General features: G+C 39.2%; 1 protein-coding gene and 1 long non-coding RNA gene across 3 annotated transcripts in view; one reads left to right on the forward strand and one right to left on the reverse strand.

The window, feature by feature from the left end:
* The window catches only part of GNG12-AS1 (GNG12, DIRAS3 and WLS antisense RNA 1), a 370,700-nt gene that overhangs the window by 264,123 nt on the left and 92,308 nt on the right, over nucleotides 1–14,269 (forward strand). The window contains exons 4-6 of the long non-coding RNA NR_040077.1: nucleotides 2,233–2,426; nucleotides 3,319–3,382; nucleotides 4,288–4,364. This is a non-coding gene — a long non-coding RNA (GNG12, DIRAS3 and WLS antisense RNA 1). The remainder of the gene's footprint in view (nucleotides 1–2,232; nucleotides 2,427–3,318; nucleotides 3,383–4,287; nucleotides 4,365–14,269) is intronic.
* WLS (Wnt ligand secretion mediator) overlaps nucleotides 2,049–14,269 on the reverse strand; it is a 134,088-nt gene continuing 121,867 nt past the window's right edge. For both annotated transcript variants that reach the window (NM_001002292.4, XM_011542191.3), the window contains exon 12: nucleotides 2,049–2,343. In NM_001002292.4, coding sequence (NP_001002292.3) covers nucleotides 2,222–2,343 — 122 coding nt within the window. In that variant the 3' untranslated portion in view covers nucleotides 2,049–2,221. The remainder of the gene's footprint in view (nucleotides 2,344–14,269) is intronic.

Raw genomic sequence — 14,269 nt, forward strand, 5'->3', positions numbered from 1 at the left:
GAAGTGGTGATTCTGGGCATACTTGGCTTATTCCTAGTCTCAGAGAGAAAGCATTCAACATTTCACCATTTATTATGATGCTGGCTTTTTATATGGCCCTGATGAAATTAAAGAAATTATCTTCCTTTCCTAGTTCTTAGTCTTTTTTCATGAATAGGTGTTGAATTTAATTAAATATTTTTTAACCTATTGAGATGTCAGCGATTTTTATCTTTCATGGTGTTAATTCAGTGAATTACCCTGCCTGGCTTTTCCAATGTTAAACTAGAAATTGCATTTCTAGAAATTATCCAACTTGGTTTTGATCAATTGCACTTTTTATGTATTGCTGTATTGAGTTTGCTAATATTCCTTTTAGAATATTTGCATCTATGTTTGTAAGTAATATTGGACTGTAATTTTGTTGGTATCAAGTTGATGGTGTCAAAATTATAGAACTTTATAAAACAAATAGGAAAATTTCTCCTTTTTCCCTATTCTCTGGAATAGTCTGTGTAATTGTCCTATTTCTCGTATGTTTGGTAAAATTTACCAGTGAAGCCCAACTTTTCTTTGTGGGAACAAAATTGAATATAAAATTTAAAAAATATTCATAGAGATTATTCATATACTCTATTTCTTCTTGTATCAATTTTAGTAAGTTTTTTTAAGAAATTTGTCCATAACATGTAAAAATTCAAGTTTATTGGCATAAAATTGTTCATGTTATCCTCTTATTAACTTTGTAGCATCTGTGTGGAAACTTTGTCGTCTGTGATGATATCCCCCTTTTTATTTATTTATTTATTTATTTATTTATTTATTTATTTATTTATTGAGACAGGGTCTCACTCTGTTGCCCAGGCTGGAGTGTAGTGGTGCAACCAGAGCTCACAGCAACCTCAACCTCTCAGGCTCAAGCAATCCTCCCACCTCAGCCTCCTGAGTAGTTGGGACTACAAGTGTGCGCCACCATGCCTGGATATTTATTTTATTTTATTTTTTGTAGAAATGAGATCTCATTATGTTGTCTCAAACTCCTGAGTTCAAGTGATCCTGCTGTTTTGGCCTCCCAAAGTGTTGGGATTACTGGTGTGAACCACTGTGCCCCGACACTTTTTATTTTTGATAATGGGTAATTTGCTCTTGCTGTCTTGCTGACTTGCTCCTGCTCTTGCTTTTGATCTCTTTTCTTTTTCTTGATCAGTCTTGCCAGTTTATCAATCTTATTGTACTTTTTAATGAACAAACTTTTGGCCTACTGGTTCTCTTTATTGTCATCTGTATTATATTTCATTAATTTTTTTCTGTTTTAATTTTTTACCTCCTTCTCCTGTCTTTTTTATTTAATTTGCCTTTCCTCTTCTAAAATCTTGGGTGGTATACTTAAACCATTGATTTCAACTGTCTTTTATTACATGCATTTCAGTCTTACATGCATTTCTTTTATTACATGCATATTCTAAGTATAGTTTAGCTATATCCCAGAAGTTTTGATATTATCAATGTTTACATTCAATTAGTTTCAACTATTTTAAAATATTAATTGTGAGGGGTTTTTGAAATTTGCAAATAGTTTTAAAACTTCCAAGCATATGGGTATTTTACAGTTACCTTTGTAAAAATTAATTTTAGCTTATTTCCACTATGGTCCAAATTTATTGGAGATTTTCTTTCTGATCTCGGTCCTGCAATTCAGCACTGCCTTAGTACTTCTCAAATGACTGTATGAAGCTGGGAATCATACAGCTGAAGAAGGCCATTACATGTGCTGGGAACATGCACCTTTGAAGGCTTAGCTAGTGGTTCTCAACCTATCAGATGCAACACTACCATTTTAAATACATATATTTGCAATATTACTTTTTCTATCCTGAAAAAAACTTACAGGTAATCTAAATTTTTAGAAAAACAATACAGTATCCTGTTACATGGAGGATAAATAAATAAAAAGTAATTTGTAACAAAATAATGTTTTTCAACCTGGAAATGTTCAGGCATGACTACACTAGAGACAATGATAAAGTTGGCAGATGTTTTCTTCTACATACATTGAGTTAATATGGATGTAAGAGAAGTAAGACAATACTCAAAGAATATTTATTGTTGACGCTTTTTTCCTTATATTTAACATTTTGAGATAAAGGCTAAATGAGTGTATTTGTGTGCGTATACAAGTACAATCAATGTGACTGTGACAACTGCAAATGCAAAGCTGATAAACATGTGTTGCCTTGTTGACTCAAATACCAGAAGCTGCGTTGTCATTGATGAAGGAATATTTCGAAGCGCTGAACAATTCTTGATAAAGTTCCGAAACAAACAAAGCACAATCTTCCCTCGATTTACATGGGAGTTGCATTCCTGGAAAATTCAGTATATTTTAAAACCATGCAAAATATCCTTTTAAAAAAATATGTAACATGGAGTTTAGGACCAAGGCTCAGGTAACTATAAAAATTTTTACCTACATAAATTTCTAGTGGAGTGTTTGAAATTTGTTTAGGACTGTGTCCTTCATTGTGGGACATTTGCAGATTTCTCCCTTGCCCACTAAATCTCAATAGCACCTCCTCCCTCAATTATTGTGACAATCAGTTCCTCCACATTCAACAAATTTTCCAACACCTCCCGAGCAGCACTGCCATCCTTGTTGAGAACGTGTATCTAGTTCATCTTAAGATAGAACTGCCCCCCTCATCCCCACTTTCTCTCCCAAATCCTGTGAAAGCCCAGCACAGGCACTGGGGGATACAGCAAGCCACTTAGGAGGATTCCCAGCTTGTGTCATTGAATCATCTTTAAATTTATTTTTATTTTTTTTTATATGTCTTATCATCTTCCAAAAAGGATGTTTTGGTGAACTGCAAAGAGATATACTCAGAGACAGGAAAAAGATCTGGTAGGGTGAAGAATGAAAGAAAAACAGGCAGGCAGAATAAAGCTGAAAGCTGAGCCTAGTATCTAAAACGCACACTCCCAGGGCTTGTATACTCAATAAAGTTGAGAAGTAACTGGGTTGTCAATTTAAAGAGGAATACTTGATCAGACACACAATTCTATGTTGATAAGATTAAAAACAAGCTCTAGTCATCCTTCCGTACCTGTAGGAGATTGGCTGTAGGACCTTTGTGGATGCCAAACTCTGCAGATACTCAAGTCCCTTATGTAAAATGGCATAAGGGACCATTTGCATGCAACCTATGCCCCTCCTCCCATATACTTTAAATAATCTTTAGATTACCTATAATACCTAATACAATATAAAGGCTATGGAAATAGTTGTTATACTATATTTTTTCATTTGTGTCATTTTTATTGTTATTTTTAATTTTTTAGAATATTTCCAATCCATGGTTGGGTGCGGAACCTGCGGATACAGAGGACTGACTATAATATCAAGGTAAGGACATGGATTCTGGACCCAGACTGCATACATTCAACTTGGCTTCACTTTTACAAACTGTAGGACCTTGAGCAAATCACCACATGCTTCTGTCTTGTTACCTATAACAGGATAATATCACTACCTACAATACCACACAAGTCTATTGTGAGGATTAGATAAATTGGTGCACATAAAGTTCTTAGGAGAGTATACAGTAGTTACTTGTAAGCACTATATAAACATTTGCCAAATAAGCAGAAAAAGTTCTCAGAGAAAACAGTTTTTACCAGCAGTTTTTCTCACTAATAGATGTGGAATTGAATTACCTAGATTGAAAACTCAGAGGAAACTTGACATTCATCAATTCTAATCTGTTTGTGTTACAGTGCAGGAAACTGCAGCCAGACACTGAAAGTCTAGGGGCCAAGCTCACATATTAGTTGAGGATCCACAAGTTAGTTGAGGATCCTGGTCCCCTGGTTCTTTTCTGCTGCTCTTGCCAATATCTCGGCCTGGAGCTGGCCTGTGGAGGGGTGCAGAGAAGCAGCCTATTGTCTCTCCTTCCCAGAGTGTCCACAGGTTCCAAAATTCTACCTTCTCCCAACTGTTCTATAACACCCCAAACTCTCATTTCTTCCTAAAGGACAGAGAGCAAAGAATAAATCAGGTGTGAATGACCCCTAAACTCAAACCCTCAAGGAATATGCAAACACATAGTAGAGTTCCTTTAAATATAGTAAATCTTCAACTTTGAGGAAGAGGGCGAATGGGTAGGTGGGAGGCAAAGGTTTTAAATTTAGAAATTAAAATTGAATTGTCTAAACTGGCAAAAGTCTCACCACTTTCCAGTTGTGAGACTGCACACAAAGTTACTTGAGAGTCTCCAAGCCTCATTTTTCTCTTCTGTAATGTCAAAACAGAGATCATAAGGCTGTCGGAATGGACTCTTTGTGGCAATAAGATACCATATTATAAACAGGACCCAAGGTCATGCCAGGTAAGAATGAAGTCACACACCCTTCCTCTTAAGGAATAAACTATATTGTAACTGCCTCAAGGTTTTTTCTTTCACTCTAGCAGTTAAACAAGCACTGATAAGTCTCCAGCCCACCATGAACATGGGACACATGCAACATGCATGTTTGCTTTACTATGTATGCGAGCATCCCCCACTTCCTAAATATTTATTGCCCCCTGTAACCTGCTGAATATGTAAACATAAACGTGGCCAAACCGTTCAGCATAAATTCCTGCTTTACCCCTCTCTCCCTTGAAGTGCCTGCTTTTGGTGTCTGCTGGAGGCTATGCTTCCCAGCCTATCAGGATGGCCACCTGCAGGCTGTAACCTTTTGTTAGAAGTAAAGCTCTCCTCTCCAAGTTTCTGAACCTTGTGATTCTTCAGTTAACAGTAACATGGGGATGATAATAATCAACACCTCATGGGTTGTTGTGAAGAAGAAATGAAATAATACAAAGCACCTAGCACCATGCCTGGCAGAGAGGGGCCAATAAATGTTCATCATATTTGCTATTATTATTATTATTATTATAGGCATCAGCAACCTATCAGAAGAGAAATAGTTTTCCTTTGCTCTTTGAAGAAAGGAGGCCGCCCCAGAAAGGCTTTATTCGTGTCCTCTTACTCCATGAACTTAGTTACCTTGTAGAGGGGAACGGGAATGTCTGGAAAGAAAGAACCTGAAGCTCAGTCCCGATAGGATCACATGAAGCGTCACAAAGACAGAAGGGTTGCAGGGCTGAATCCAATTCAACCACTCACTCTAGTGTGTTCCTGAGAGTGCTGTCTTCTCTCTCTGACCCTTAAACAAATATGTCTACGTTCACTGTCCAGAATATAATATAAGACAGGGCTTGGTATTATTAAGATGCTGCTTACTAAATGAGGAACTCTGAGATATTGCACAAGAAATCTAGAAACTTCATGAATTGGGGGTGAGTCTCCCAATGGTGAAAGTTCAGGAAGACTGGCTGCAAGGGGCTTTGCAAAATACACGCTTATAAACACACTTTCTCTTCCTTTAACAAGGAAAATGATAAAACTTCATAGTTACAGCGAGAAATACTGGGAAACAAAAAATACGCTCTTAAAATTTCAATAACTTCATATATTCATTCTACTTAGCTGTTACGGGAGAGAAATCAAATATCTTACTGTTGATTTTCATTTTCCAAGGGACTTTGAACTATGTGTGTAGGTGGCAGTAAATACCTTCGTTATAGCTGCTGGGAGCTGCAGACTCTGCACACACAGGTGAAGGTGGTTAGACTTGTGTTTCCTGGGAAGCAAGGGCAAGTAAGGAGTGTCTACCATGGGCCAGCTATATGCCTTTGGTATTCCATTCAACACCCTCCTCCCTGTGTTAGAGGAAACATTTCTCCTCCTGCATTCTTCCCAGCCTGTAACAGGACTTTCTGTCCTCTGGGGGATTGGGAAGTTATTTCCTGCCCCTTCCTCTTTTTACTTCTTCCCAAGGGAAAGAATGACTTCTCTTCTTAGGGAGGTTGGAGAAGGGTCCTAAACAGCGGGCTCTCTTGTTTAGGCTGACTGTGAGACAATTTTTTCATTGCTTCTGCTTTCCTATGGGGAGAACCGTTGAATCGTAGCCTGGGATCTGGAGGTTGATGTCTCTCTTCTTGCTCTCCAGAATTCATTGATTTGAGGCATGCATCTGACCTCCATGTTTCTGCACCACAGACTCAATTCTCCTCATGTGCAGGTCCAGACCCAGCTGGGGTTGTATCATTTTGAAGGTCATCTGATTGCAGGTCCACTTTAAGGGCTCCTACTCAACAACCAATAAAGGTCCTATATTCATCTGTATTTGCTGAAATATGACTATTTCTCAATTGGTTCAGAATCAGAGAAGCTCTACTACCCAGAAGAGTTGGAACGGGCCTTGAAATGTAACCCAAGCATCTTATTATACAGGTAAAAAGCCAAAAATCATATGCCCCTCTTGCCAGCTGACCTTCCCAGACCCCACCCAGGTCTGGCCACATAATAATGTGCATTGCCCAAGGTGGCTTGATTGCCTGGTCTGGCAGCTGGAGGAGTGGGCCCTGCACCTGACCTCACTGTGTCTTGGCTTTGTCCAAGTAGACCCCTTGCCTTCGATTGTTTTGTGCCTAATGTTTTCACTCATTTAGAAACACCTGCATCTTTCTTCCCCTGGCAGTGCTCTGAACCCTTTTTTTTGCCGGGGGCACTGTCACCAGTGTCTTGAGATATGTTCCTGTTCTGTATCTGACCCCAGTGGACCGGAACCTGCACGTAGGTCTGCTGCCTCCCTGCCTAGCGCTCTTTCTGCTCCCACCAGGGTGCATACCTCTGTGAATTACATGGCTGGACTTCTCTTAACATCAGACTCTATTAACTAGAACAATAGTTTTATCTCATCCTGTGATTCAAAGACGGTTGCTAGGGAAACCAGTGGGGATATGTTTAATCTGTAAATCCTGTAATTGCCCTAAAGTAGCAACAATTCATGTGCTTGCTTCAAAAGGATTTGGACTGAACTGACTGGGAAGCAGGTGAGTGAAGAAGAACAATCACAGGTTGGCTCCCCTTGTGATCTGTTCACATTCCTCATAAGGTGTTTTTTCCTGCTGCTTTGCCAAAAAGCTAAAGGGATTAAAGAGGGAGCACTGCGGTGCCCTTCTAATGGACCAGGAAAGCTAGAAAGACAAAATTATGCAGTTCTTCTCTTCTTATGGATTCAAGTGGTCAGAGCTGAGTGATTGGAGGCTGTACTGGTGGTGATGGAGAGAGATAAGAGGATAAATACTCCATTTTATTTTAAAATGGATTCAGAATCCTATAATTGTAGTTTGTAGGGGGATACTAACTCCAAATGAGGAGAAGCAAGGTATTTGGGAAGTCTTATCAGAAGAGGCCAGGGTGGTCTAAGCATAGGAGCACAGAGTCGGGTTTGGAGGCGTGCCCAGCATCATCCCCGCCAAGCCTTTCCTTAATCCACAGCAGTATTCAGTGGGTCACCCACATGCTGCTTGGGCACTGCCAAAAATGGAGAACTTGCTCCTTCCCAGAGCAGCTCATTTTGTGTTTAAACAGCCCTGATTGTTAGAAGATCTGCCTTAAATTGAACTGAAACATGGGGTGCTGGGGGCAGGGGACAATTTTCCTCCTTGACTTGGCTGTCTGGCGGAGCTCACAGAGGTTTCTTCATAAGACATGCCCTACCTCTGTCACAGGGCCCACACCCAGCAAGCCACACTGGCTCAAGGGCCCAGAACTATCCAGACCGTTGAAGAGTCCCACCTTGAGGCACAGGACAGAAGCAGTAGGGAGAAAACTAAACATTCCTTGATGTAGTGTTTGATTAAGAATAAAATGCACAGCTTCTGTCTCTCGGGGCCCTGCAATGTTTGTGATTTAAAAAAAAAAGCAAAATCTAAGTGCAGACCCTGTTTCCCAGGAGAAAAGTCACACGAAACTCTTCTTTATACAAAATGGTTCTGAGAATCATCACTACCATTATCGGTGGAGATGACTCAGTATTCTAGACTTAGCTAGTTATGCAAAGTCCAGGGAGGTCATTGTGCTCTCTTTTGGAAACATAATAGTTCCATTAATGCAGCTGAATATCACATTTGCTCTGAGCAGCTGCATCCCACTGCTGACTCATGTTGAGCTCTACAATCAGTGAAAACTTGGAGGGTATTTCTCCTTTGTAGGTGCAATATCATATGATCCCTCCTAAGCCCAGCTCTATTGGGACTATGGGTGTCCAGGGTCCCTCCTAGCTCCTTGCCTGCTTTTGCTGTCAAGTTTGTGAGTTCACCTTCTGTATTTTAAAATTCAGGATTGCAGCCTGGTGCGATGGCTTGCACCTATAATCCCAGCACTTTGGGATGCTGAGGCAGAAGGATCTCTTGAGCCCAGGAGTTTGATCAAGACCAGCCAGGGAAACATAGGGAGACCTCATCTCTACTAAAAATAATTTTTAAAAAAGTAGCCAGGTGTGGTGGTGCATGCCTGTAGCCCCAGCTACTCAGGAAGCTGAGGTGGGAGGATGGCTTGAACCTGGGAGGCCAAGGATGCAGGTAGCCATGATCGTGCCTCTGCACTACAACCTGGGCAAAAAAGCAAGACACCTGTCTCAGTAAAATAAAATTTAGGATTGCAGGGATTGCACCCTCCTGTCTCTGGTTCTTTGTTACCTATCCTGATCTGTGAAGTCTTAGGCAGTCACTGCCTGTGCATAGTTGATGTATCTATGTGGTCCCATTCTCTTCAGCTCTAATTTATCCAGACCAGCATGTTTAATAAGGTTAGATGTCTGATCTACCCTTTATTAATGTCTATTCTCTTTTCCAATTCATTGACAGAAAAGTTGGAGGAAAGCCAGGAGCCAGGGAGTTTTGCTTTCTTTGATCTGTTGAAGCAGCATAAGTAGTTTACCTAAGAGTATACTGCCCTTGTGAGAGGTAACAATGCAAGATTTTGGAAAAAGACATCTAACCTGAGTGCTTATACTTTGCATAACCCTTTTGCATTGTTTAGTACTACTGGTTTTTATGCTACTTAATTGTTTTAAAACAGGGATTTATAAAAATAGACACAATTTGCTAAATTCTCATTCAGTTCAGTCACTCTTAATGGAAAGTCTAGTTTTATATGCCACAAAGCCATAACCAAGGTGCCACCTCATTGTAGAAAAAGAATCCAGAAAGAAAGAAATGGTTTTGAGTAGCAACTTTGAAAATTCCAAACTATGAAACAAAGGCAGAAATCACTGTTACAAGGTCCTTGGCTTTCCAGGAAGTCCAAAACCCAAATGAAAAAGGCATCTTGATTTTCTCTCTGAACTCTGCTCAAGGTTTACTAAGAAACTACCTACCACGTATAAATGGGAAACACACAAAAGATGTATTTCTTGGAAGGTGAGGGGTGTTAGTGATTTTGGCCTCACATTAAGGGAGCCAGAACCTGCCTGAACTGCTAGAAATAAGGGGTGGAAAGACAGGACTGGGTTCTGGGGCTGCATCCAGGGAAAACATGTCAGTACCGTACACCTAACACCAGATGAGTGGACAGAGACATGTCAGGAGAAAAGAGGAAAAAGGAATGCCCCGGGCTCCAAAAAGAAAAGGATATGGGATTGGTGTAAGGGTCTGAGGGATGAGAGAAAAGAAAAGATGGTGATACATAATCACTTCTCTTTTTTCCTTCAGAATGATGACCTAAAACTAAACATTGGTCACTGCAATCAAAGTGTTAATATGAAAAATCAAGTACCTCGCTCTGAAATTTCAGAATTTCTTGGTGGGGAGTTAGGACTAGGAAGAATCACAGCCAAAAACAACTAACAGTAACTCCCATAGCAATGCTCTATATTTAAGATGTAGATACATCCATAATATATATACTCTGGAGTGGTTTATTAAAAGGCACTTCGAGCCATTCATAAAGAAATAAATGATAGTGCAAGGCAGCCGGACTCAATGGCCAGGAGGGGAGTTAGCAGTGAGTGCTCTTGAGGAGATGCCGAGGCTGGGTGGGCAGAGGGTACTTCGAGGGGGGCCTAAGGGAGCCCTCAGTGGGCCTGGGTGATGATGTCCTCAGAATTTCCCAGTGTGTGTGACCTCTGCAGCTTGAGTGTTCCTAAGGGAAGTTTGGAGGATAAAGACAGCATCTCTGGGACACCAGACCAGTGTCCTTCAGGTCTGGGAGCCCCACAGAGCAACAGCTGGGAAAGTATACGGTTATTGGAGGCAAAACAATCAAAATTCCATTCCAGAAACGTGTCCCTTGCAAACCTAGGTACCTGCTGCTCACTGTTCAATGGTGGCAGACATTTCAGTGTAGGCAGCTCAGTGCTTCTCATGCATAGACAGACTGCTTCCCACTTCCCCACCCAAGGGGCACCTGGAAACGCGTGTGCATGTGTTTGTCACTGTGTGTGTGTGTGTGTGTGTGTGTGTGTGTGTGTATGTGTGGGTAGGTGGGTGGGTGAGTATAGAGGCTACTGGTATGCAGTGTCCAGGACAAGAGATGCTTAATGTCCTGCAACACGAGATCAGTTCCTCAGAGCAAATATGGACCCCATTATAAAACAATGTGCTTTGGACACTGTCAAGAGGAAATTCCCTTAAAAGAACTAAATGTATACCTTACTGAAACCAACTAAGTCGGTATGCATTTGAACGTGTATATTCCAATGTTTTCTGCTTTTAAATTTAAAAGCTCTTAAAGTTAGAAAATACAGATTAGCATAAAGAAAATGATCAAAATAATCCTCATTCCTACTATTTAAGTAATTAATATGTTGGTATCGATTAATGTGTCTTTCCATTTATTTATGAAAATAAGACAAAATTATGCATACTATATTTTTAGTCAGCTCTTTTTAATTACTATATTGTGAATCTTCATTGACTTAAATAGATCCTTTTGTATATAATTTTTAGTTGCTGCCTCATACTGTATTTTATGTCTGTACCATTGTTGAACTATCCTCCATTGTTGAATAGCTAGATTTTTTTTTTTTGCTATTAACACAATGTGGCAATTTATCTTTGAACGGTTTTTTATTGTCAGAGAGCAAAAGGATGTTTAACAGCTGGAAGGTAGGAGGATAGATAGAGTGACAAGAGTTTAGGTTCTGCAATGAGAAGACATTGCTTCAAGTCCCAACTCTGCCACTTACTAGCCATGTGACCTTAAGCCATTCAGCTCAACCTCTTTGCCTCAGTATCCTCATCTGCAATATGAGAATAACAATACTTACCTGGCAGGATAGCACAGGAGATTAACTGAAGAAATACATGTGAAAGTACCTTTCAACTGTACCTCACTCTGAGAGAGAAGGGGGAAAAAAACATGATCTTCCATTTACTGTGAATCTCTCATATGCCAGGCACTTTCCTGCGTTTTACGTGCTTTATTGCATTTGATCCTCATGGCAAACCTGTAAGGCAGGGGCTATTTTTTTATTACCCACATGTTACACAGAAGGGAAATGAGACATGTGGATAATCTACCCCATCATGGGCACAACGGTAGAAGCGGCAGCACAGAGATTCAGACCCGGGTCTGCGGGACACACCCCAGGCTCTGAGGTGGATACAATGCAGAAGAGAAGCACACTCCCCAGTGTGGCAGGAGGCCAGTTCTAGAGCCTTCCAGACCCAGCTCCCCGGGAGATGAATCACCAGCTAGGGACAATCCCGAGGCCAAAAAGCTCATGATAGCCTGCTCACAGTCTTGAATCAATAGGTCTTTTATTAGTCTTTAAAATGGGGACCACAATCTTTATATGTATACAATATTCGTGCATTCCAGAGCTCTTTCCCATCCATTCTCTCACTGTTCTGACAATAGCTCTGTGCTGTGGGTGGGGCAGGAATCGGCTTGTGAAGCATCATCCTATATGTTAGGACAGGGAAGACTGGAACTCTGGATGCCTGGTCCCAAATCATTTGAAATTTGAATAATCCCAGCTTATTGGAAAAGGAATCCTGTCTTTTCTACTTGGTATCTGTGTAGCTTTGGGTAACTCATTTCATTTCTCAGATTTTCAGTTTCTTCATCTCTTAAAAGAGACCAAAAGCAGGAATAATGTTTATGTCAAGGATTGTCCTAAAATCCAAATGAAGTCATGGAGGATATTAAAAATGCCTACCACTGTGTCCCTCCCACCTCTAAGGCAGTGTACCCACTCCAGCCACCCAGCCCATAGTGTGCTATGGTCTACACCAGATGCCCCCTTCCCACTCCACTGTGGGTGATTGGACTGAGGTGGGCAATGAGCTCAAAGAGTAGTTCACTGGCCTTAAAGGAATTCATCAAATACTGAACTGAATCACCTTGATTCTTTTGAGATTTTTTTTCACTGATAATTGAATTTTTAATTCTACTTAGTTTTAATTAATTTTAATTTAATAGCCACATGGAGCTAATGGTGACCATAATGTACAGCTCAAGGCTATAAGTTTATTATCTGGGGAAAGTAAAACAGAAGTCAAAGAACATTAAAAAATTGAGAGCTTTTCTTATGGGGAAAATTGGCACACTAAAGATACCACGGACCCAGAGAAAGGCCAAAAAATATATATATGAGGGAAAGAAATGGTAATGCCTGGAGGGGCCCGTGTTAGTAGAATTCAATATGAAAGTATTAAAGAGCACTTCTGGTACTATAAGGAATGAAATATTATGAAATGCTTAGTGCTATAAAATAAAGACAACCTGACAAAGTATACTTTTAATTTTATTCCTGGGCTTGCAAGAAGTTATGTACCACTTATGCACTACCACCTTCACCCCCAACAAAGACCTGAACACACAGCAATAAGTGCTAAGCATAGGTGAAAGGCAGGGTTGCCCTGCTGGCAAATGCTGATGTTAAAACTGCAATCAAAAGCCAGCTAACAAGATAGAGAGATTAAGCCTAGGGTCCCAGCAGTGGGCTAAAGTTTCTATAGGTGGGTAACCCTCTGGCTCTCAACAAAAACAAATCTCTCTGGAGAAAAGCTTCCTCAATTTGGGTCCTTAGATTTCCGTGGATTAAGCAACAATATATGAGCACTCAATAAAATATGATCAATGAAATATAATCAAACACACAAGAAAGCAAACCACTATAAGCAAGAGGTAGAAGAGATGAGGTATGCCAGACTTCTACTTCTAAGAACTTTAAATGTTGGAATGAGAATATTTGAAATGTATAATAATTACAAAATTCATTCAAAAAATATGAAGTCACAGAAATAGGCATGCAATGCTAGACTATAAAAAGTGAAATGGTAGATTTGAAAAAGACTTAAACATAACTTTTAGAAATGAAAAATGTTATTAAAACAGCAGAGGAAAGAATTAGTGAAGTGGAAAATAGAGTTGAAGAAATTAAACAGAATATAGCACAGGAAAAAAAGATTATAAATAAGAAAGAAGGATCAATAATCATTATAGGTTCCAAGTAAAGATAATATATTGAACACATACAGCTCATTTTACTACCTTCTCCAAACTTATTAAAACTACAGCAAAGGGATTTTAAACAATCATATAAACCCACAAGAATGGGCAAAATATGAGATGAGATACCAGCAACAAACTTCTGGAAAATGGAATATAAATGAAGAATTGATAACAATGTTACCAGAGCTAAGAAAACCAAATCCTAAACTGATGGTGGGGAAATCATTGAATCAACTGAATTTGCACTGGAACACAACACAAAAAGTAAAAAAAAAAAAAAAAAAAAAAAAAAAATACAGTAAGAGGCATAAATTAGTAGGAATTAAAGATAAAATAGAAGAACTACCAAATCAAAAATTCTTTAAAAAGACTATTAGATTAATCTTTAGTAAGATTGAGAAAAGTGAAGGTATAAATATGTATGAACAAAGGAATATATCTACAGATAGGCAAAATTAAATTTTAAAAAGATTTTTAAAAAATTTAATTTAAAATTAAGTTGAAAAAATATTTTAAGTGCCAAAAGAGATAGCAAGAATAATCTACACTACTTTATGTCTATACATTGGAAACAATTTAAAATGCCCAGAAAAATATAACTTGTGAAACCAATTGAAGAAATGGAAAACCTAAATAGCCTTATAATCATTAAATAAATTAAAATGGTAGTCTAAAATTTTTCTGCAAAGAAAATAAAAGTCTCAATAATTTCAGTGACATATTATTATTGCATTAAATAAAAAACCAAATGTCCAAGAAGAGCCAAGACATTCTGAGGACAAACAGGATGAAGGAATGTGCTTTTCTAGATTGCAAGCCTTATTAAAAAGCTAAAGTAATTAAAACAGTATGGTTTTGAGGTAAGGATAATCAAATTAGCCAGTGGAACAGACTAAGAAGCCCCCAAAAATCTCTGTCTCTCTCTCTCTCTCTCTCTC

Source organism: Homo sapiens, chromosome 1 (genome assembly GCF_000001405.40).
Source record: "Homo sapiens chromosome 1, GRCh38.p14 Primary Assembly".
NCBI classification, from domain to species: Eukaryota; Metazoa; Chordata; class Mammalia; order Primates; family Hominidae; genus Homo; species Homo sapiens.